This window comes from Homo sapiens, chromosome 3 (genome assembly GCF_000001405.40).
Source record: "Homo sapiens chromosome 3, GRCh38.p14 Primary Assembly".
NCBI lineage: Eukaryota > Metazoa > Chordata > Mammalia > Primates > Hominidae > Homo > Homo sapiens.
The window spans coordinates 176,540,225-176,566,326 of NC_000003.12; the positions used below are offsets into that span (position 1 = coordinate 176,540,225).

A 26,102-nucleotide genomic window follows, 5' to 3' on the forward strand; every position below is an offset into this window, starting at 1 on the left:
ATCCAATATAATCAATTGGATTTTATACCAGGGATGCAGGGATGTTTTAACATACACAAGTCAATAAATGTGATATGCCACATAAACAGAATTAAAAACAAAAATTATATGATCATCTCAATAGATGCAGAAAAAGCATTTGACAAAATCCAGTATCCTTTTATGATTAAATCCCTCAGCAAAATCAGCATAGAAGGGACATACCTTAAGATAATAGAAACCACCTATGGTAACCCCACAGCCCACATAATACTGAACACGGAAAAGTTAAAAGCATTCACTCTGGGAACTGGAGCAAGACAAGGATGCCCACTCTTACCACTTGCAACATAGTACTGGAAGCCTTAGCCATAGCAACCAGACAAGAGAAAGAAATAAAGCCCGTCTAAATTGATAAAGAGGAAGTCAAACTGTCACTGTTTGCTGATGATGATATTGTATACCTACAAAACCCTAAAGATTCCTCCAAAAACTCCTGGAACTGATAAATGAATTTGGCAAAGTTTCAGGATACAAACTTAATGTACACAAATTAGTAGCTCTGCTATACACCGACAATGACCAAGCAGAGAATCAAATCAAGAACTCAAACCCTTTTACAATAGCTGCAAAAAAAAAAAAAACCTTAGGAATATACTTAACCAAGGATGTGAATGACCTCTACAAGTAAAACTACAAAACACTGCTGAAAGAAATCATGGATGACACAAATGGGAACACATCCTATGCTCATGGATGGGTAGACTCAATATTGTGAAAATGACATTATGCCAAAAGCAATCTACAAACTCAATGCAATTCCCATCAAAACACCACCAGCATTCTTCACAGAACTAGAAAAAACAATCCTAAAATTCATATGGAACCAAAAAAGAGCCTGCATACCTAAAGCAAAAGTAAGCAAAAAGAATAAATCTGGAGGCATCACATTACTTGATTTCAAAGTATACTATAAGGACATAGTTACAAAATAGCATGGTACTGGTATAAAAATAAGCACACAGACCAATGGAACAGAATAGAGAACCCAGAAATAAACCCAAATACTTACAGCCAACTGATCTTCGATAAAGCAAACAAAAACATAAAGTTGGAATGACACCCTATTCAACAAATGGTGCTGCGATAATTGACAAGCCACATGTAGGAGAATAAAATTGGATCCTCCTGTCTCATCTTTTACAAAAATCAACTCAAGATGGATGAAGGACTTAAATCTAAGACCTGAAACTATAAAAATTCTAGAAGATAACATTAAAAAAACCCTTCTAGACATTGGCTTAGGCAAAGATTTCATGACCAATAACCCAAAAGCAAATGCAATAAAAGACAAATAGGTGGGACTTAATTAAACTAAAGAGCTTTTGCACAACAAAAGGAACAGTAGCAGAGTAAACAGACAACTTACAGAGTAAGAGAAAATCTTCGCATTCTACACATCTAACAAAAGACTAATATCCAGAATCTACAAGGAACGCAAACAAATTAGCAAGAAATAAACAATTCTATCAAAAAGAATGCTAAGGACATGAATAGACAATTCTCACAAGAAGACATACAAATCGTCAACAAACATATGAAAAAATGCCCAACATCACTAATTATCAGGGAAATGCAAATTAAAACCACTATGCAATACTACCTTACTCCCGCAAGAATGGCCATAATCAAAAAATAAAAAATAACAGATGTTGGAGTGGATGCAGTGAAAAGGGAACACTTCTACACTGCTGGTGGGAATGTAAACTAGTACAACCACTATGGAAAATGGTGTGGAGATCCCTTAAAGAGCTAAAAGTAGAACTACCATTTGATCCAGTAATCCCACCACTGGGTGTCTACCCAGAGAAAAAGAAGTCATTATACAAAAAAGATATTCGCACATGCATGTTTACAGCAGCACAATTCAAAATTGCAAAAATGTGGAATCAACCCAAATGCCCATCAATCAACAAGTGGATAAAGAAACTGTGATATATATATATATATGTGATGGAATACTACTCAGCCATAAAAAGGAATGAATTAATGGCATTCACAGCAATGTGGACAGAATTGGAGGCTAGTGTTCTAAGTGAAGTAACTCAAGAATGGAAAACCAAACATCATATATTGTCACTCATAAGTGGGAGCAGAGCTATGAGGATGTGAAGGCATAGTAATGACACAATGGACTTTGGGGACTCGAGGGGAAAGGGTGAGAAGGGGTTGAGCCATTAAAAGACTATGTATATTTCTCAGGTGATGGGTGTACCAACATCTCACAAATCACCACTAAATAACTTACTTATGTAACCAAATACCACCTGTTCCCCAAAAACCAATGGAAATATTTTTTTTAAAAAAAGCATGATGTAAAGCATGTGAAACATTCAACACAGTGACTTAACGCTTACCAAGTAGGCATTAATAGTCACTAAAAATTAAGAGCATTTGTGGACTTCAGGTACATGATTATTCCCATTTATTATGCATGGTAATTTCTACAGAGGCTTCCTTTCCGGATGACGCTGGTAGTATAACATCGTTGATATTCTATGCAGAGTTTGTTCTATTGGCGGATACCAAGCTTAAGCTTCAGAATAAAAGATACATCAAAGTATGAAATTCTTTTATCATTTCATTCTATCTGAAAACAATTTTACAAAATTGTGCTATATATGTCACAGAAGTCTTAGATTTTTATTGTTCTTGAAATTAACTTAATAAATATCAAATTTGATCTTTTGATCTCTAGATACTTTGATTTGTGAAAGTAAACCAAAAAATTATATCCTTGCATTTTAATCTAGCTGACCTAAGTGGCCTTACTTTTAATCTAGCTGACCTAAATATCAAAACACTTGATATATATGTGGACTAGAATTTCCCAAGTAGATTGATTTCTTCAAGGCAATTAAAGCAGTATAGAATAGAAGAAAGTTATTGAATGAATTGCTTTGGCTTCTTGATCAAAGATAGATAACTTTTTTTCCAGTTTGGATTCTAGAGAGTAAAGAAGAAAGTCTTGCAATAAAAAAGACTTTCTTGACTTTTTATATTGGAAAAGAAATAATTGATTCTATTCTCACCTTTAATATTTCCTTCTAAGGATTTTCTTCAGAGGCCATTGGATTTTGGTGAGCTTTGTTTTCACTTGATTAGGGCAACTGAGTTTCAAGCCCTTTTGCCTTCACAAATTCAAATATATTAATTCACATTTCACTTAATTTGTCCATTTGTCCATTTGTTTCTGAGAAACTGATGACGAGGAAGCATGTGCAGAAAGTCTGAATGTGTGTGTGTATTTGAGGGGCCATGGGATACTGTTGGCTACAAACAAACATGAATCATATTTATTTTCTTATATGAGAAGAAGTTTGGATATGGAGGGTCACTAGTGTTGATTTAACTGATTAAGAATGTCACAAAAGATTCAGGTTCTGTTCTGCTGCCCTTCATACATGGTAGCCCTATGTGCTGGCTACATTTGTCCTTTTCATCAGAAAAAGCAAAAGCCCTTCCAGAATCTTCTCTAGTAAATGCTTGCTTAAGTACATTGGCTAGAAGTGTGTTTTTCTTCCCCCCATAGCTGGGAGGCAGAGGAACTGAGAACCTGTCCTAAAACCCCTAATGGAAGCAAACAGAGAAGAAGGGAATACAAACATTATTATATTTGCTACCAAAGCAAACATAAAGAATACTTTACAATCATTATGCAAAAATTATATTCCAAGGCATCTTGACATCTACCATATTAATTAACAGAAATACACATTTCCTTACTGAATGATAATTGAGGTTCTTCTATATTTCAGGCTAATTATTTAAAAACTTAATTGTTCATTCATTCTTTAAACATGTTTGAATGACAGCTGGTGGCCAGATACTATACTACTAAACACTATGGATAAATAAATAAACTGTTCATAGTTTTCTTTCTCGGGAAGGAGAAAAACCATAAAACAAAATTAGTTATAGTATGTGGTAGGTAGAAAAATGCTCCTACCCAAAAACGTTCACATCTTAATCTTGCGAACATGGTATGTTTCACAGCAAAAGAGAATCAAGGCAGCAGATGGAATTATCGTCACTAATCAGCTGGCTTGGAGATATGGAGATGGTTATGGATTATTCAGGTGGGTCCAATCTAATAACATGAGTCCTTAAATACAGAGGAAGAGACAGAGGGGATGTCAGAGAGCCAAGACATGAGAAGGACTTGACTTCCATGTCTGCAACAGTGGAGGAAAAGGGCCAAGAACAAAAGATGTGGCAGTCTCTAGATGAGAACATCCCTCAGCCTACAGCCAGCAAGAAAACAGGAACCTTAGTCCTACAACTGCAAGGTTCTAAATTCTGCCAACAATCTGAATGAGTCTGGATGAGGATTCTTCCCCAGAGATTCTAGAAAGGGATGGAGACAACCAGCACCTTAATTTTAGCCCAGTGAGACTTGTTATCTATGTAACTATAAGATGAAAAGGTTATGCCGTTTTAAAGCACTATGTTTGCAGTAATTTGTTAAGGCAGCAATAGAAGACTAATATAGAGTTATATGTTAATGGCCACATTAAACAAAATATATATCATGACAAAGGCTTAAGAAACATCTGGAATATTTGGATGTCTTGGATGTTAAGAATCTTGGGTCTGTAAGTAATAAGAAGCCATCAAGAAATTTCAGCTGGGGATTTACACTAGTAAAATGAAAATTTACTTTCCAAAATTAACAGGATCAATTTTCGTAGAAGCTCTATTTATAAGCACAAGAAATTGGAAACAAGCCAAATGTCTTTCAGCTGATGAATGGACAAACCAATTGTGGCATATCCATACAATGGAGTACAATGCAGCATCAAAAAGAAACACACCGTAGACACCTGCAACAACTTGGATTAATCTCAGAGGGATTATGGTAAGTATCAGGAGCTAGTATATTGCCATTTATATGGCATTCTCAAAAAGACAAAACCACAGGGATGAAGAATGGGTGGTTGCCAGGGTTTAGAGATAGGGGTAGGGACGCATATTGCCTTAAAGCGAGAGCATGAGGGAACTACTGTGTATCCTGATGTGGTGATGTATGGGAGTCTAAATGTGAAAATTCATACAATTGTGCATCGAAAATTAAGTTCAATTTTACTAATGATAATATATACATTTAGAGAAAGAAGAGACTGGCCTAGGGAAACCAGTAAGTCTCTAGAAACTCAAAACTACTGGAGAAAAAGACCACGTAGAACTATAACTGTTGTAGTGAATGGAAAAACCTGTTCAGAAGGTTTTCTCCAAAGGCAATAGCAGAAGGATTTTAGTATGAAAGAGGAAAGAGTAAAAGAAAATGTCTTCAAAACATGGATGAAGGCTGGGTGCGATGGCTCACACCTGTAATCCCAGCACTTTGGGAGGCCAAGACAGGAAGATTGCTTGAACCCAGGAGTCCAAGAGCCACCTGGAAAACACAGTGAGGCCCTGTCTCTACAAAAAATTTAAAAATTAGCCAGGTTTGGTGGTACATGCCTGTAGTCCCAGCTACATGGGGGGCTGAGGCAAACAGATTGCTTGAGCCTAAGAAGTCAAGGCTTCAGTAAGTCATGATTACACCACTGCACTCCAGCCAGGGTGACAGAGTGAGACCCTCTTTCAAAAAAAAAAAAGCGGATGAAGGTGAACAATGATGTTAATATATATAGCGAGCACAGGAAAATGAACAGATTTTTTACTATTATTATTATTATACTTTAAGTTCTGGGTTACATGTGCAGATCATGCAGTTTTGTTACATAGGTATACACGTGCCCTGGTGGTTTGCTGCACCCATCAATCTGTCACCTACATTAGGTATTTCTCTTAATGTTATCCTTCCCCTAGCCCCCACAATCCCCAACAGGCCCTGGTGTGTGATGTTCCCCTCCCTGTGTCCATGTATTCTCATTGTTCAACTCCCACTTATGAGTGAGAACATGTGGTGTTTGGTTTGCTGATTATGAAGGTTTCCAGCTTCATCCATGTCCCTTCAAGTGGAACAGATTATTTTGATTAAATTCAGAATTCAACATGTTGAGTTTAGGTCACTGGTAGCATATTCTATCAACTTCCAAAAACACTGGACTGGAACTTAGGAGAGACTCAGATCTATCCTAGTGCTTTGGCAGCATGGGAATCTAGGTGGTAGCTGAAGCCATAGGAGAGAAAGTAGGTAGAACTTTTTCTACATAACCCTTTCCCAAATAACAATTTCCCAAGTCCTGCAATTTCTGGAACTTAAAATGAGGAACCTGTGGTTGACACTGTTAACTTATTAAGGAGAGTGCTGTTTAGTCAGTCTCTTTACTGGTAGACATCTAGTATGGGGCATCTTCAGGAAAATGGACAAATTATTTTTGTGAATTAGTGTTCAGGATTTGTAGTGTGATAATCCATGCTTCCATAAAAAAAAAAAGCTATGTAATCACCGAATTAAAAGATTTTCTTGCTATTGAGTTTTCTGGTTGAAATAAAGCAGTGCACATTGTAACTTATTTTTGCGTTTTAGCTACTGTTTAAATCTTTGTTTACCTATCTCAGGCACACCTCAGGAACTAGTTCTTATTAAGGCTTATAGATCAATGAAAGTTTGTAATTTTAAAGGGAGCCTCTTTATGGTGACTTAAATAGAAAGAACATATTCTTTAACCAGTGAGTAGAAACACTCTCCCTACCATACAACACTGAAGACGTAAAGGGAAAAGTCTTCTAATTGAGGCAAAGCAAAGAAAAAGGCATGTATTAGTCCCTTTTTATGCTGCTGATGAAGACATACCTGAGACTGGAAAGAAAAAGAGGTTTAATTGAACTTGCAGTTCCATATGGCTGGGGAGGCCTCAGAATCATGGTGGGAGGTGAAAGGCACTTCTTACATGGTGACGGCAAGAGGAAAAAGAAGAAGAAGCAAAAGCAGAAACCCCTGATAAACCCATCAGATCTTGTGAGAGTTATTTGCTATCAGGAGAATAGCATGGAAAGACTGGCCTCTATGATTAAATTACCTCCCCCTAGGTCCCTCCCACAACACGTTGGAATTCTGGGAGATAGAATTCAAGTTGAGATTTGGGTGGGAACACAGCCAAACCATACCATTCTGCTCCTTCCAAATTTCATTACCTCACATTTCAAAATCAGTCACGCCTTCCCAACAGTCCCCCAAAGTCTTAACTCATTTCAGCATTAACTCAAAAGTCCATAGTCCAAAGCCTCATCTGAGAAAAGGCAACTCCCTTCCACCTATGAGCCTGAACAATCAAAAGCAAGCTAGTTATTTCTTAGATACAATGGGGGTACAGGTATTTGATAAATACAGTCATTCCAAATGGGAGAAATTTGCAAAAACAAAGGGGTTGCAGGGCCCATGCAGGGCAGTCAAATTTTAAAGCTCCAAAATTATCTCCCCTTTGACTCCAAGTCTCACATCCAGGTCACATTGATGCAAGAGATGGGTTCCCATGAGCTTGGGCAGCACTGCCTCTGTGGCTTTGCAGGGTACAGCCTCCCTCCTGGCTGCTTCCACGGGCCGTCATTGAGTGTCTGCAGCTTATCCAGGTGCACGGTGCAAGCTGTCAGTGGATCTACCATTCTGGGGTCTGGAGGATGGTGGCCTTTTCACAGCTTCATTAGGCAGTGCCCCAGTAGGGACTCTGTGTGAGGGCTCCAACCCCACATTTTCCTTCCACATTGGCCTAGCAAAGGTTCTCCATGAGGGCCCTGCCCCTGCAGCAAACTTTTGCCTGGGTATCCAGGTGTTTCCATACATCTTCTGAAATCCAGGCAGAGGCTCCCAAACCTCAATTCTTGACTTCTGTTCACCTGCAGAACATCACATGGAAGCTGCCAAGGCTTGAGGCTTGCATCCTCTGAAGCCACAGCCCGAGCTCTATGTTGGCCCCTTTCAGCCACGGCTGGAGCAGCTGGGACACAGGACATCAAGTCCCTAGGCTACATACAGCGCAAGAACCCTGGGCCTGACCCGTGAAACCACTTTCTCCTCCTGGGCCTCTGGACCTTTGATGGGAGGGGCTGCCCAGACGGTCTCTGACATGGCCTGGAGACATTTTCCCCATGATTTGAGGATTAACATTAGGCTCCTTGCTACTTCTGCAAATTTCTGCAGCCAGCTTGAATTTCTCCTCAAAAAAATAAAAAAAAAAAAAGGATTTTTCTTTTCTACTGAATCATCAGGCTGCAAATTTTCTGAACTTTTTTGCTCTGTTTCTCTTCTAAAACAGAATGCTTTTAACAGCACCCAAGACACCTTTGGAATGCTTTGCTGCTTAGAAATTTCTTCCATCAGATACCCTAAATCATCTCTCTCAAGCTCAAAGTTCCACAAATCTCTAGGGCAGGGGCAAAATGCCTCCAGTCTATTTGCTAAACATAGCAAGAGTCACCTTTGCTCCAGTTCTCAATAAGTTCCTCATCTCCATCTGAGACCACCTCAGCCTGGACTTTATTGTTCATATCACTAACAGCATTTTTGTCAAAGCCATTCAACAAGTCTCTAGGAGGTTCCAAACTTTCCCACATTTTCCTGTCTTCTTGTGAGCCCTCCAAACTGTTCCAACATCTTCCTGTTACCCAGTTCCAAAGTCGCTTCCAGATTTTCGGGTGTCTTTTTAGCAATGTCCCACTCCCAGTACCAATTTACTGTATTAGTCCATTTTCATGCTGCTGATAAAGACATACCTGAGACTGGGACGAAAAGAGGTTTAATTGGACTTACAGTTCCATATAGCTGGGGAGGCCTCAGAATCATGGTGGGAAGCAAAAGACCTTACATGGTGGTGGCAAGAGAAAAATTAGGAAGAAGCAAAAGCAGAAACCCCTGATAAACCCTTCAGATCTCGTGAGACTTATTCACTATCACGAGAATAGCAAGGGAAAGACTGTCCCCCATGATTCAGTTACCTCCCCCTGGGTCCCTCTCACAACTTGTGGGAATTCTGGGAGATACAATTAGTTGAGATTTGGGTGGGGACACAGCCAAACCATATCAAGGCAACTTAAGATAAATTCATATCAACCTGATAATTAAAGTTTTTATGATAGCAATATCAGTGTCATCAGAACAAATTTGAAAAATGTTTGCTACATCCTTCAGAGTGATTTTCAAATGTTATATGTTTATCTTTTATGAAGACAGTTGGAAATAGAGTTTATTACCAAGTCTCTATGACATGGCCAAATTCACTGGCTAAGTGGATTTGCAATTTTCTGTTGTCTTAGTAATTGGCTGAGAGGAAAACAATCAGACTGACAGTGTGGTAAGCCAATTTGTTCATCAAGGAGATATAAAATCCTGGTTCAACTGTGCCTCAGTACACTTTCTGCAGTTGCCTGGCTGTTAGGAATTCATGTCCAGTTTGTGACTAAAGGGAAGGATTTGGGTTTTACATTGCAATTACTATCCTGCATAGGATGCGTCCATTGTTTACAGCAAGACAGTTCAGAAGCTGGCAATAGACCCAACCAATAAAGAAGGACAAATATTTGGGAGATGTCAAGGCCAGAGGGCAACAAAAGTTCCGTGTGGGAAATAATAATTTTTAAAGACACAGCAGGCATCAATTAAAATTGAGGCAAAATATCTTACATTTAAAATATTTAATTCTGTGTTAAAAGCCTCCTAACTGGCCCGACTGAGTCCACTCTGACCCCCTCCAGTTTATTCTCACCAGGACTGCCTCAGAAATTGGCTCCAAGGTGGAAATCTCAACAATGGGCTGCTGCTCCCTTGCTTCAGCCTAAAATCTTTCAATGGCTCCCCTTCTCCTTGGGATAAACACAATACTTGGCAGGCCTGTGAGGCTCTGCAATGCCCTGCCTTCACTTGCTTGTTCAGCACCATCATACACCACCCTTCCTTGCTCCCTGCTCCCAATCACACAGTCCTTTGTGTCCCTTGTTCTGGCTGTACTGTCCCTGCCATTGGTCTTTAAACACAGTTTTCTCTGAATGGAGGACTCTTCCCTCCCCTATTGCCTCATTAACTCCTACTCATCCTTCAGGTCTCAGCTCCAGGATGATTTCCTCAGTGAAGCCTCTTGTGACCTCCCTAAGTGCAGCCCTCCCGAAGTAAAGTTCGCACCCCATGCACCAGCTTGTATTACTTATTATGGTTGCCAACAGACTCCTTCATGTGATTATTTGATATTGTTTATCTCTGCTGCTAACAGTAAGCTCTGTGGCTGTGTATTTTTGCTTACTATTGCCTCCCCAGAACTGAGAAAAGTACCAGAAGACACAGACACTTAAAATGTACAGTATTTGCTGAATATACAAACAGATGAGGTAAGAACATTTTCAGGGATTCTTGATCATATAACTTCTACACAGTGTTTATAGCACTGTCCTCCATTAAGTGAAGAAACTACTCTATCATGCAGCGTAATACTTTCAATAACCAAGTGCTTAATGTAAGTTTAAGAAATACAGTTAAAGTCATATAGGCAGAATTATATTGACATATAGCTCAGAGAAATGTTGACAGTGGTTAGTTTTTATCAGTGTGAATAGGCTAAGAGCAGAGACAAAAAAATACCAGTTCTCCCACCTAGGGTAGGTGGCTCTAGGGAACACAACATGTAATGTCTTTACAAAGTTTCTGAGAGGTAGCCAAAACTCCTGGGTTAAACTGACTTAAAATCAGCTAATACTAAGAAGTTAACTTAGTCCTAGAGCAGAGGTTATAACTCAATAGACAAATTAGGGATCCATGAATCCAAGAGCTAACTCATAGAGTACCTCATAGAGTTAAAACTTCATTCTCTTCACTTTGTAGAAAAAAAAAATTAAGCACAACATACTTAAAAATATATATCTGTAGTCACATTCCTGGTGTGGGTCAATATCAGAATTAGAAATCAGATGGCAAAGATATTCCTTAATGGTTTCTATATGTGTAATACTATAGTGACTCTGTAGAAAAATGAATTTAAAAGATGAACTCATCCATATGTGACTGTGGAAAACAACCCCTAATAAATATTTGGCAGATCTCTCAAAGCATTTTAAAAATGAAAATAAGTGTTACAAATTCTAAAAAGATAATAGCCAAGGCAATTGGTATCTCCAAAACTAAATATTTTTTAAAGAATCAGACTAGAAAGAAAATATAATCATGGAACTTAAGTTGGCTGAATGGTAAATAATAATTATATAGTTATAATAAAGTAATGATTATTAATTTAACAAAAAAGATATTACTATAATCATTGGGATGATTGGATAAATATAAAAATGGATAATGTCTAAAGTTGATAAATCAAGAAATAACAGTATAAGTATCTTATGTAGAAATGTGGAGCTAAGTATATAAATGTTTTAAAGTATTATCTCTGGGGAGTAGGGATGAGTGGTAAAAGATGGTTGGAGTACGGCCTGCTATTGTTTTTCTGAAGGTTTCAGCACTTGTTGCAGTCAAAGTCCAATTAGGAGAAAGAAAATACGCAGTGAGTTGAACAGGGAAATTTCAATATAAAAAAAATTGTAATAGGGAATTAGCTACTAAAGTGTGAAAAGGACACTCAAGCAGCCATTACCCCTAAGGCTGAGGTAGAGAACCCAAGGTAGGAAGAAATCTGGAAGATGCATCCGCCTCAGGGCTGAACCCCAGACCTTCTGTTAGAAGGTACAGCTGTGGCCTACTGTGTGGCATAAAAGTTTGCATCAGTGAGACTCACTCTGAAGACACCCTCTGGGAAGGCATCTTCAGGGTGATGCCACAAAAGTGGCACTCACCAGGAACTGCTCTCTGGGGTTCCAGAAGTTGTACCCATGAGAAGGTACCTCAGAAATTACTTGGAAGGGGTGGTGCTGGGAAAAGCCATCCACAGGGAGGTGCCATGCTTCATGACTCACTGTGAAGCCACATGAGGGGTACCAGGGAAGCTGTCTATGCTCCTTGGAATTCACTGTCAAGTTGCCCAAAGAGGTGCCAGAGGAAGCCATCCACAGGGAGAAGCCACACCAATGGGACTTTCTGGGAAGCTGCTCTCTGAAATGTTATGAGAAGCTGCTTTTAGAAAGCAACATGACACGTTCTGCAGGAGGTTACTGAGAGGAGCAGGGAAGAGCCAGGAAGAGAAACCTCTGCCTTCTCCAGTGGCTCTCCAGAGCACTCTCCAGACAACATTTAACATTTACCACCACACTTGCTGGCAAAGGAGAAGTGCTTACACAGTCCATTTCTGGCTTTGCATTGCAGACAATGAAGGGTGAATTTGGAGCTGAGAGACAACAGATTGATAACTGGAACAGTACTTTTTGAATGTGTTAAATAATGTACATTGATATAGGTCAAAATTAATCCTTTAAAAGCAGTTGCTAAAAAAAGTGCTGTTTGATGATATAATATGTTTCTTCCTATTTTTAAAGATTTATTCCTCTTTGATGGTGTATTAGTTTTCACACTGCTAAAAAGATACTACCTGAGACTGGGTAATTTATAAACAAAAAGGGCTTAGTTGACTCTCAGTTCCACATGGCTTGGGAGGCCTCAGGAGACTTACAGTCATGGCAGAAGGCAAAGGGGAAGAAACATTTTCTTCACAAGGTGGCAAGAGAGAGAGAGAACACAGGGAAAACTGCCACTTTTAACCCATCAGACCTTGTAAGAATTCTCTCACTATCACAAGAACAGCATGGGGAAACCACCCCCATGATCCAATCACCTCCCACCAGGTCCCTCCCTCTACATGTGAGGACTGCAATTTGAGATGTGATTTGGGTGGGGACACAGAGCCAAAATACAGCAGATGGTAAAAAATCGTGATACCCCCCCTTGCTCCCTTTCAATTTAGCATTTATAACAAATCATATTATCATCTTGAAGCGTGCTTGTTTTTTTTACCACCCACCCCAATTTATAATTTTCCTGCACTTGATTCTTTGTTCCTAAATATATTTTATCACTATTTTATGACATGCATTTTTAAAGGTAGTCTCTATAGCTTCTAATAAGACGTAGTCCCAGCTTTCCAGATGTTTATTGTCTGGCTGAAGTCATAAAACAAGTTCAATTAAAACAATTAGGTAAAAACAAAATTCAGAACCTTATTAAGTAATCAATTTTGCAGGATGAAGATTTATGCTCTAGGAGTTCTTTGAAAAAATAATATCCAAATCATAACAGTGAGAGCGTCCTGAAGACTAAAACTGACCTTTAAAACAAGAAAATCATTTGTTTCAGCTGAGGGAAATAGAGGAGAGACAGAGAGAAGACATTACTTCGACCCTCAGGGACTTCCAAGGCATAGTGAAGCTCAGAGTTTGATTAACTGCCTTCTATGGGTCACCATAGTCTGACCCCACTGTCTCTCTAAATCATCTTTGACCCTGTTTGACATCAATTCTCTATTCCCTTCACTTTGGCTTATGTATTGCCCTGAACACATCTTGTTCATATTTCTATTAGACATTGTTCTTGAATCTTCTTTTTGGAATGCACCCTTCTCCCTCCTCTTCATCTGTCTGAGTCTTGCACTTCACCCAAGACCAAGTATCTTGACCTGCAAGAATTTTTCCCTATTCTAAATTTCCAAAGCACTTAATTCTATTCACTCATTGAAAGCCATAGTATTGTGTGATGAGGTAGAATAATAGAAAGGGCAAAGACCTATAGTTAGAAGTCTTAAGTTCAAGTCAACATCCTTGCTGTATTCCCTAACTTCTCTCAGTCTCAGTTTTTTTCACTGTAACAGGGTTGATGATACCTGTTTCATAGAGCTGTTGTGAGGATTGAATGATTTTGTATATTTATGTGTGGCCTGAAATTCTTGAAAATTTTTCTGAGTAAATCACATATAAGCTATGGCTGTGTGTGTGTATATGTGTGTATTTTCACACCATCTAGGATATAAACGTATAGAAGGAACAATGTCTAATAATTGTTCATATTCCCCTTAGCATCTAGTGCTAGCAAAGCACCTACTCCCAGTGCTTAGCAAATAGTAAACACTGAATAAACACTAACTAGATGAATAGAACAAAGCCAGTTTCTGTAAAAATATAAAATGATCCATCTTCACTGCATTTACTTCATCCATCCTTGTTTGTACCCATTAGATGCCTCTGAGTTACAATATGAGTCACTGCAGACATTACTGATGAAGAAAAATTTAAACTGGTAACACTCATCTTTGCTACATCAAGCCATGGGTTTATAAAAGCAGTTTAGAACTTGTGAGCTGTCATAGCAGTGACACTCACTTAACACCTTTTGCAGACAGCAATTGCTGATAAGTGTTCTTTCAATGAAGTACTTAAATAACTGGTATGACTAGGGATGTCAGTCACAGATCAGTCAAGTGGGAAATTTTAGGAAATCAATTTTGCCAGCAGCTGTGGAATTCCGGAATTTTTATCTTTTAATATATAAGTCACGTTTAGGAAATTCCAAACCAACTGTTTTTGACAGATCACTTACGGGGGCAGGGTGGGAAGGGGCAGAGCTAACAGGTAGAGGTGGTGTTCTTTCTGCGTAAACAGGCTTTGGAGCAAGTCGTACTAGGGGAAAACAGCAACTATCATTTACTAGCCTCTTGGCAACAAGCCTTCTTTAAGTCTCAATGTTCTTCTGTGTAAGGTGGCAATAATGCAGTCGTGAGAATTAAAAGTGTCTAAAGCATCTACTACAGGGCCCTGTGTGGAACTCGGGTGATGAACAGTATGCGTGGTAGCTCGAAATGATATTTGAAAATGTGCCTTCAGGCCTATTCTGTGAAGTTTCCAACATCCAGGTTCAGAATGTAAGCCATCAGTATCACAGCCTCAACAAACACTCGTAACCCCACAGCTCATTAAATGTCTTGCCCAGGGTCATAGACTCAGTTAACAATTCACTTGAGCACAGGTCTGCTGCATTCAAGGTAATTTCGAAAGCAAATGTATTTAACAACGTACACTACTCCTCCATCCCCCACCCGTTCCTCATGAACAACTCATAAATATCACTTGGCACTCACAGAATAAGTAGAACTCTATCTGACAGTATCTGATGGATTCAGTTATGATTAGTCAGAGTCCCTGCTTTAAGGGAAATTATGATTCCTTTGTTGTCTTCACTAAGATACTAAGGTAAAAACTGTAACTGAATTTGATGAGATCTGACATTGTATCTCCTGAAGAACTTAACCTCTGTAAGATTCTTGGAACATAGTTGTGAAGGTTAAATGAAATTAGATCTGTGAAGCACTTAGCACAGTGCCAAGCACATAGTGATTAACGACAACCACAATGGTATGATAACAAGTAGTTCCTATAAGGACAGCTCAAAGCATCTCCAGAAATATCAATCCTAGAAGCTGCTATAAAGGATTACGGTTTCTTTCAAACTAGATAGCTTTTCAAATGTTAAAATGATAGAAGGGAAAAATAGAAAACAGTTGCTATAAGGTAATTCTGTGACCTTCTTTTATTGTCAGTGGCTGATTGGGAATGCTGGGTTCTACCACCGGCAATGCTGCTGCTTTGGGGGGAGAATGTGAACAAATTAATTAATGTCATTGAGAGTCCGTTTCCTTTTGTAAAATGAGGCTGTTGGAATAGAAATGTTCAGATTGCTTTCAGCTCTGCTGTCCTATGAACCTTGAACATGGAATCTATTCTAGCAGTGGTAGAAGGGGGATCTGTGGTAACAAAGAACAGGAGCAGAAACAGGGGTAGAAAACCTTGGAGTTGAGATTAAAAGTGAAAATACTTTAGGGGAGTAGCCAAGCAATATATTTACTCAGAGGCATGGCTTTTTAAATGTCTGCCACTGGCGGCATGACATATTTGCTTGAACAGAGTTCCTATAGCAAGTTGACAATAATTTGATTTTCTCTGTTGCCTGACACTCTAACTTCTTATTTCCTAGGTTACCATAGTGCTCTCTCTAGCCACTGTCACTCAGTGGGCTCTTACTGGGCAGACTTAATATGATGCCAGTTTTGCGCAATGCTGTTTACTCTCTATCCCTTCAAATTAGATGCTCTTCTATTTCTGAAAATAAAATATCAACAATGCCACCAGACAAGTCTTCAACTTAGTAAACTCTCAAAAATACAGCCCTTCTATTTCTGTCTGCTGAGGACATGAGGATTCTTTCTGATTATGGAACAATGCGTGCAAGGGTGGGCCAGGGAGAGAACGTGCTGGATGTAATGGCCTGGAATCTCAAGTTAGAGTGCAGGCAGGTTTCCTCGAGGGAGCCTCTAAAAAGAGGGAAATACAGTGTGTGAAAACAGCAGAATCTTTCACCTCAGAGCAGGTAAAATAAACCAGATACCGAAGTTCATATCTGAGAACGAGGACACAGAAAGGTTTCCTTCACCAAAAACTTACCCTTCAAATTCTACTCAAGATTTTCATTTCCATTGCAAGTCACCAAGACAGCTATTAGATGAATGCAATCATTAGAGGGGAAATGTTGATGCCCCACTCCTACAGTTTGTATAAGGGGGAATTTTCCCTCCAAACCTCCTTGCCTCTTGCCCTATTCTTACTTGTCTCCAAGGAGAAGGAGCGACTTACCTATTTAGTGAAGTGACCTGCATAGCTCATCTTCTCCCACCTCCTGTTCCCTTGGGAGCACCATTCCCACAGAGATAGAACATCTGCTTCTGCTGAAAGGATCCTGCCCTGAGAGGAGGCTGTGTCCAACCCTGTACATCAGGATTAGGAAGCCTGCTTGTGGGTGCATAGACATCACATTCCCCACAGTTAGATGTGCAATTAAGACAAGTACTACTTGATCTCTCATCATCCCTACTCTTTTGCCCTATGTCACATTTTGTCAAAACACAGGTGAGCACGGTGAAGCTACTGTTGCTTCTCTCCAGTCATGAAACTAATATTAATGTGTATTCTAAGGAGAAATCTGCTACAACTTCCTCAGGGATTTCATAGTGTGAGAGTTAATTTACTTCTGTTGATTCCTTCTCTTTTCATTGCCTCTCATTCCACAAAAGTCCCATGCCAACCCATGGAATTGATCATCAAGTAAAGCCATCTGTATAGCCCAGTGATTAATAAAACAGAATAGTGTAAACTAAAAAATGGGTTAGCTCCATCTTTAATGTATTTCAGCTATCAATTTAACTAGAATCATAACTGTTTGGATTTGAACACTGCTATAGTGGAAATATAGGCTGAAAATAATCCTGTATCTATCTAAACTGGCTGAATTTAACTAGAAGGAAACTTACATATAATCTGAATCTACTCTTTCTTTTGCATCTGAAGTACAATGACAGGCATAGAACAAGGAAAAAAGTAGCCAGATTTCTCACCCTGGCTCTGTCACTGATCTGCCGTCTATCACTGATCTGGGTTAACCTTTCTGAAACTTGAATTTTTTTCTAGAAAATGGCAACAAAAATGGCTTACAAAATGCTAGAAAGATTAAATTAGACAATACTGGGAACAATGTTTAAATTCCATAAAATTTATATACAAATGTAAATTGCAAATATCATAGATGAAAAAACTGAAAAGAGACAGAACATGACATGTCCAAGGTCACATAGCACTGTAGTTCCTTATCAAGACAAGACCCCATTTTCTTGTCTTTAAGCTTATTCCAGAGTTCCTAAAAATGAGGTCCAGGGATTACTTCTACTGTATTTATTTATTTAATTTTTAAAAAATTTTTCTTAATAGAGCAAGTTCTTGCTATGTTGCCCAGGCTGGTCTTGAACTCCTGGGCTCCAGTAATCCTCTTGCCTCTGCCTCCCTAAGTGCTGGGATTACCGTTGTGAGCATGCCCAGCTAAGGTCCAGGGAATACTTTTAAATAAACATATTTTTGAGCCCCACTCCAACTCTAAATAAGAATTTCTAAGGCATGACCTTGAATCTTCATTTTAACAATGAACATTACATTTGGGAAACACTGTATCTGGTCCAAAAGTTTTTTAGTACTTACACAATGCTGCATTCTCATCAATTATAAATGTTACTTCTCCCCTTTATGTGAAAGCATATTCAAAGAATCAGTTCAAAGTATCTCTCTCTATTTTAAGCTACTTGGGTCACTGTAAGTTAAAAGTACATCTTCTCACAATTTAAAAATTAAAATTCCTACAGCAAAACATGTCCATCTTGAACTTTCCATTCTCAAAATATTTTTAATATTTTATTTCATCTTTTTAAAAAGTCAGTTTGGAACTCTTAACCGCAAGGTAGCAATAGGTACAGGTAAAATAAAAAATCATTAAACTACAGCACAAAGTATAATAACAGATAAAATTCAATTATGACAAATTTCATGAAACTACCATATGGCTATATTCTAATAGAATTGTGTTATGGTGAACATAATGCCAGAAATTAGGTCCAGGTTTGTGAAACTCGGGAAGCAAAATGGTTGATTTCCAACCTCTTTGAAGTGAATTATCCAGTGAAACAAAGTGATTTTTATATCATATAGATGCAAAGGCTATATCATGTAAGCGAGCTTCTGTGGAGCTGCTGGGTCTTACTGTGGGGCTCTGTTTCTGCAGGTGCTGGCCATGCAGGGACTTGGTCTCTGAATGAGATGAAGAGCCATTAGCCTATGAGCAGAGGAGCAGCATAACAGGACTTCCGTTTTCAAGACACCTCTTTGGCTGTGATGTTAGGAATGAGGTAGAAACAGGGAGACCAGTTAGAAGGTTGTCACCATAATCAAGGTACCAGCATGGGAGGGGTGAAAAGCAATCAGCCTCCGGATATACTTTAAAGGTAAAGTTGACAGGATTTGATCCTCAAATTCAATTTAACTAAGCATGCTCCGTCCATGCAGAAATGACTGCTCTACAGACATTTTTTAATAACCCTTTTTAACAGTTTTTTATTTTCATGGAAATAATCTTAAAAATGATGGATAGAATAATGTAATATACTATGTATTATATAATATAAAATATAGTATAACTGTATATATTAAAAATCTAGTCACATACGCAACAAAATATATAATCTACACATATTCTTAGTGCAAGCATATTATGACTAGGTGTGTCTAGTCTCAAGTTTATTTAACTAAATAATGTTTTGCTTTGTTTTATTCTAAGCCATGATATTCTGCAAATGCCATGTATTCTGTTAATGTAGCTATGAACAAATAGCTATACAGGTATTGTATTGCCATGTCCCCCCTCTTTGGTCTATGACATTAAAATACTGTATATCCAGTTTGAACTTTTCTTCTCTAAGCCAGCTCTGCTCAGAATGCAGCAGTCTCCTATTTTTCTTCTGTAGGCTTAGCTTATCATCTTGCCCCTCCATTGTCCTCCAAATTCTTAGTCTTTAAACTGATCTTGCCCTTACACACATTTCCCTCAGAAAATTTTTGTTCCACCTTACACATTGCTGACAAATTTTCTTCATCTTCCCTCCTTTTCTTCCTTGAGTTAGTCTCCTATTGGTGGACCAATCAGAGTAGGCCGTTTCCCTTCCCCCAGGAGGTTTATAGAACCATCTCTGCAAACTAACTAGAGATTCTGCGATTGAAGCCAAGATATCAGTTGAAGCTATAAATAAAAAGTAGCAGTCTAAGGTGAAGTAGTCTTTTTTTCTCTAAGTTATTTAGCACAACGCCATCATTTCATCTCTTCTACACATTTTATTATTACATTGCATTTTAATATTCAGTATGACACCCCATATGAAATGCTGAAACCCCCTGTCGACACTTTATTGTGTATTCCATTTTTTTCTGCATGGAATCTGAATATTATTTTATAAAATGTTTCTCTTAGATGAAATTAGAGAGTAAACCAGTGTTATTTAGGAATTCACAATTGCATATCGACCCCCTATTGTGGAAAGATTAAGTGTGATTTCAAACAATAGAAGGCAATCCCAGGAAGAAATCATAAAGATGGGTATGTTGATTATGATGTCACAGTTTGGCTTTGGGTTAATATACCTCAGCAAAGATCTGATAATGGCTTTATCAGAGTCGTCGTTACACTTAGATGATCCACTTTGGCTACTTGGCAATCCAAATTTTGCTTCAGCATTGAGGATCCTCCATGTACACTTTCATTTTAGATCTCTTTTCTTGTTTCAGTGGAATAAATTTGCTTTATAGTTGTCAGTAGATTACAATATTCTTAGTTACTACCATTTTGTGTTAATTGCACCAGTCTTGACTTCTTCGTCAATATTGTTTTATAATTACACTTATGAAAGCACAGTCTGATTATTATGCCTACTGTTTAAGAAAATCACAGGGTATTAATAGATCTGTATATAAGTAATCATTTTCCAGCGTGGTCTAATGACTATATCATCTCATTCATAAAAATGTGTAAATTATATTCACCATATTATCAAACACCTGGACAGAAAATAAAATATTTGTTAAATGTCTGAGCAGAAAGAAAATTGCTTGGAATGAATGTTTCCATTTTCATCCTATCCACTATTATATTAGTTGATCCTTGGGAACAAAGTTTCTGTCATTTTATCCTTCGTTCACCTTCCTCCTCTCGAGTATGAGTCACAGTTAATAATTACTATTATAAACAGAATTTTGTTGAGGATAACAAACACTTATGTAGTATTTACTGTGGATCTAATACTGTTCTAAGAGCATTATGCATAATAACATATACACATCAATCTTCACACCAACACTATGAGGTAAGTGCTATTACTAACCCCATTTACAGATGAGATAACTTGACTCATGTCATAACACTAGTAAGTGGTAGAGCTGTAAACTAAACACAGGGAAATCTTACTTGCCGCTCTTAACCCTATGCAACATCAACCCCACCCCACCATCCCATCCCTACCTAGGAGGAAGTGTGGCTTCAGTAGCAGTGATTTAGTCACGTTTTTAGGGGTGACATTTTCAAAAAAGATAAATATTATTAAGCACACGGGTGTAGACATTTATCTTTCTGTTTAAAGTGGGTACTTTTGGCTAAGGTCAGAATTCCTGGCCCCTTGGCCTTATAATATTGTGTTTCAGCTAGTACCCCAGTGCAACAATAACTTCTTAGCAGTATAGACAATGACTAAATAAAAGTTCATATAATTATGCAGAAAACGTAACCCATACCCATCACTCAAATAGGATAAAGCAAAAATATTTAGATTTGCCAAGTCAACATGAGATGGTACCCACATTTCACAGAAAGGTTCTAAACTCAACCTTGTACTGCTTCTGTAGAGTTTGTATGGGTACAGAGGCACCATTTACATCTTTAAGATTTAGGACCAAAACAGTGCAGAAAGAAAAACTTGTCTTTATTAAAATAAATATTAGATGAAACTCATTAGGCACCACCTATATGCCAGGACTATTGTAGACCAACAAAGGCTGAACTAGAGTGCACCTGGTTAAACAAAAAAAATGCGCCCCCACCCCAGGAAGTACAGAGAGGCTAAATATTTAACATGGGATTTTGATATTAAACATTTTATACCAGGAATTTTATATCACTACAAATGCAACAAACTCAACAGGACTCCTTAGATTTCTGGCAATTTGTGTCTGTTCCTCACCACTACCCCAACATCTTGGAGGCCCTGGAGACACAATTATAAACAACACATCCTCTGCTCTCAGGTTCAACATCTGGAGATTTTTACACAGCCCTTATGACTTGTATGCACACCTTCTCCCTCACCTGCCTTCAGCGCATCCTCTGATTGACCCAGTTCTGAATAGCTCCTTGTAATTCTCATAGGTCATTTCTGTGTCTCTTCTCTTTCATCCCAGCTTGATCCACGACTGCTTCCAGGTTGTGGGCATGGATTTGCCCAGCACCTGTGCTCCCCTGAACCCCATCTGACCCACTTTGAGCTCCCATACTTTGCTCCTGGGCATGCTTCCTGCTGGGCAGACACCTGGCTTGCCATTTGCTTGGTTTCTCTTGCAGCCTGGCTGCTCTTCTCACCCCCACCTCACCTCCCACCTCCCTGGGCCATAAGAGTGTGCACTTAAATCAGTATTTAGTTGTGGACATCCACGAGCATTTCACACAAAAATATTCCACTTTTTAAGCCAGGAAACAAAATGAAATCAAATACATGCTTAAAGGGTAATATATTCTTACAGTCTTTATCAGTTGAAATAAGAGATAAGTTTGCTCTTTTATCTTTATTTGAAATATTCAAACTTAAAGTTTCAGGAGATCTAAATAAATAACATGCTATTCAGATCACCACAGGCAGTAGAAAAGGACACTGTGTAAAACCCAGTTTGTAAATCTCCCAATAGTCAATTAGCATACCAATGTGAGCGATGAGTAGACCTTACAGCCTTTCCCAAGCAAACACAGTAATTAAAAACAAATTACAGTACAGCCTGGATGTGGTGCTTTACAATGTACCCCACCTGCCAACCAGCAGCTAAATTCATTCCAAGAATGTCTGGCCAATTAGCTGCTCCCCCATTGGGTAACTTGGGCTTCCTGTGTGAGCACCATTTGTGAGGCTCCACATTAGATTAGGCCTTTTGTTCTCAGAAGGCAGCAGATCTTCCAGGAGACTTGAGAGTGGGTCTCTATCTGGAAAAATTCTGCCTCAGCCAGAACATATATTCTTTGTACTTCACTTCACAAGAGGCTGGAGATATTCCAATCTCAACATCAGAATGGAATCTCTAGGTTCTAACAAGGAAATAATATTATTGCATATTTTTGCTACAGGTAATTGTAATTAGAAAAAGGAAAAAATCACACACTGGGTTTTGACATTTCCATCAAAGCCTCTTGGCAAAAAAAAAAATTCAAGTAAAATGTCTACTTTTTTCTCTCAGATAAAAATAAGTCCATGAAATCAGGACAAGTGAAATGTATTGGTTTGTCTTACAATTGGTTTTGTACATGTGTGTAGAAATAAAGAAGAATAGAATTAAAAAGGAAAATCCAGTGCTTGAATTTTACAGCTGAAAAAATTGAGACCCAAGGTTGAGAGAGGGAGAAGCAGAAGCAAAGCCTCACAGTTCTTTCCATTACACTATACTGTGAGTGAATTTATGTTTATGCAAATACTTATAATATGTATAGATTTCATGTATATAAACACAGGTGTCCAAATAGTTTTCCACATGAGTTTTTAGGTGAGATCATCATCTTCTGTAAACAGAGTTGTTCCTGGAAGGCAGGGACCCCAAACGGAGGGACCGGCTGAAGCCATGGCAGAAGAACGTGGATTGTGAAGATTTCATGGACATTTGTTAGTTCCCCAAATTAACACTTTTATAATTTCTTATGCCTGTCTTTACTGCAATCTCTAAACATAAACTGTAAAGATTTCATGGACACTTATCACTTCCCCAGTCAATACCCTTGTGATTTCCTATGCCTGTCTTTACTTTAGTCTCTTAATCCTGTCAGCTGAGGAGGATGTATGTCGCCTCAGGACCATGTGATAATTGGGTTAACTGCACAAATTGTACAGCATGTGTGTTTGAGCAATATGAAATCTGGGCACCTTGAAAAAAGAACAGGATAACAGCAATTGTTCAGGGAATAAGAGAGATAACCTTAAACTCTGACTGCTGGTGAGCCAGACGGAACAGAGCCATATTTCTCTTCTTTCAAAAGCAAATGGGAGAAATATCGCTGAATTCTTTTTCTCAGCAAGGAACATCCCTGGGAAAGAGAATACACGCCTGGAGGTATAGGCCTATAAACAGCCCCCCCCCCCGGGTGTGCCTGTCTCTTATGGTGGAGACTGCAGGGGTGAAATAGACCCCAGTCTCCCATAGCGCTCCCAGGCTTATTAGGAAGAGGAAATTCCCGCCTAATAATTTTGGTCAGACCGGTTGCTCTCAAAACCCTGTCTCCTGATAAGATGTTATCAATAATGATGGTGCCTGAAACTTCATTAGCAATTTTAATTTCGCCCCGGTCCTGTGGTCCTGTGATCTCACCCTGCCTCCACTTGCCTTGTGATATTCTATTACCTTGTAAAGTACTTGATGTCTGTGACCCATACCTATTTGCACACTCCCTCCCCTTTTGAAAATTCCTAATAAAAACTTGCTGGTTTTTGAGGCTTGTGGGGCATCGCGGAACCTACCGACATGTGATGTCTCCCCCAGATGCCCAGCTTTAAAATTTCTCTCTTTTGTACTCTGTCCCTTTATTTCTCAAGCTGGCCGATGCTTAAGGAAAATAGAAAAGAACCTACGTGAATATCAGGGCAGATTCCCTGATATCTGGCCCCCATTTATGTTTAGAGATCGCAGTAAAGAGAGGCATAAGAAATTATAAAAGTATTAATTTGGGGAACTAATAAATGTCCATGAAATCTTCACAATCCATGTTCTTCTGCCATGGCTTCAGCCGGTCCCTCCGTTTGGGGTCTCTGACTTCCTGCAACACAGAGTCCAATAGCAAAGGATGTTGTTGATGGGAGCATTCTTATTTTAGGCCACAAGGTAAATGAGACCCCAATTATGTGGCTGTAGAATTTTTTTCTCTGTAAATTTGAAACATTTCATCACCCATTCAATAAGCATTTATTTAACAATGTCCATGTACTAATCACATAGATAGTGAATCTCATGGCAAGAATAATAAGTAGACCTCAACTCTTGAGACAAAATCAATTATCACCAACTCATTTCTAGTGCTTGTGTTAAGGAGGATTCTGAGGAGCTATTTGAACTCAGAATAAAAAAAATGATTATGTATGATTTTCACTGACCATATTGAGTATAGGAATGGTAACACTGTGTTAGTTACATGGCATTTCTATGTAGTAGACTGTTCTTCTAGCTCCAATATTCCCTACAGAGTCTGTCTTCTCTGTTTCTGTTTAAATGTTTGCCTGAAGTTGTACAAAAGGAGAGACTGTTTCTGTGTAATTGCTTCTCCTTTTTTTCCAACACAGAGAGAAGAAACGGAAGAATCATCCATGGAGTTAAGGTGAAAGCAGCACAAATAGAGGAAAGTTTTAAAAAAATTGTTCACTAGGGAGGTATTTCCTGAATAGAACTTCCTAACTGCAGCTACAGACCATGTTAAAAGTGATTGATTTGCCTTAGCTACTGGCACAAAATATGGAGAGCATTTCAAAAAGGTTCTTTATAGTAAAACTTTGTTTTTCCTCTATGACTTATAATAGTGATTTATTGAGAAAATTCACCGTTTTCCAATGATAGATGCAGTCCAATCTTCCAGTTTATAACATTTTCTGAGTAACTTTATCAAATCAAGGAGTCTTTCTTCATCAAAATGAAATCACAGATATACATTAAATATGTGTTTAAGCTGGAAAGGAAAGAAAATCAAAATGATTCTCTTATTTCCCTGTTGAAAAGGCTTTTGTAATCAGTACAAGTCTTTGAATGGCGGTTCCTTTAATCATTTGGTTGGTATAAAACCATAAGTGACATGCCCTCGAAATCATGAAAAGAAGCCAGGAAGTCAATATTAAGTTCACTGTAAGAATATGATGAATTTGCACTATTGTCTGGTCTCATTATATTCTTTGTCACAAAAATGAGTTATCACAGAATTATAATGTCTAGTGTGTTCTTCTTTATAATACATTCTTATGCACATGACAAGAATTACGACAAGAGGAGAAAATGGACAAAATTAATCCACCCTCATGACAGAAAATACTGCTTCAAATTAACTTGTGACAGGCAAGTATTTTGGGGAAGGCATTTATTGATGGCATCTGTCTTATCAGTCTACCTACATCAGTTCTTTATGTGCCTCATCAAGGATCTATCACAAGTAGAACCCTGGGAAAAACATCTTCTGAAGATAGTTAGATGTAAAAGAGAGAAACAAGGGTCATATTGTACATGATCTTTGGAGGAAATCCTTAACTAAATCAATAACTTGGATTTTACAGCACTACTTTTGAACAAATTCCAGCATACTTTGTTCCTTCGTGAGAAATTGGTACCTCTGGTTTTGGCAACATAAACACAATTACAGATTTTATTTTAGGAATAAAAAAAAAGGATAGAAACATTTCAACAATAAATTAGTTTGCACCTAATATCTTTGTTTTCCACTTTGGATCTAGCTGTAACCAATGTAGACATTCCTGTGATAATAGATATCATGCATATTGTTTAACCAAATTGAATTAGCTGAAGGTAAAAATTCAATGTAGTAACTCTACGTAAGAGGGAAATGA

The 26,102-nt window shown here is 38.3% G+C and overlaps 1 long non-coding RNA gene across 1 annotated transcript; it reads left to right on the forward strand.

The window, feature by feature from the left end:
- Positions 1-4,809: 4,809 nt before the first annotated feature.
- Positions 4,810-25,057, forward strand: LOC105374230 (uncharacterized). Its single transcript, XR_924734.3, has 3 exons — positions 4,810-4,897; positions 18,497-18,716; positions 24,837-25,057. It is a non-coding gene; the product is annotated as an uncharacterized LOC105374230 (long non-coding RNA).
- Positions 25,058-26,102: the final 1,045 nt, after the last annotated feature.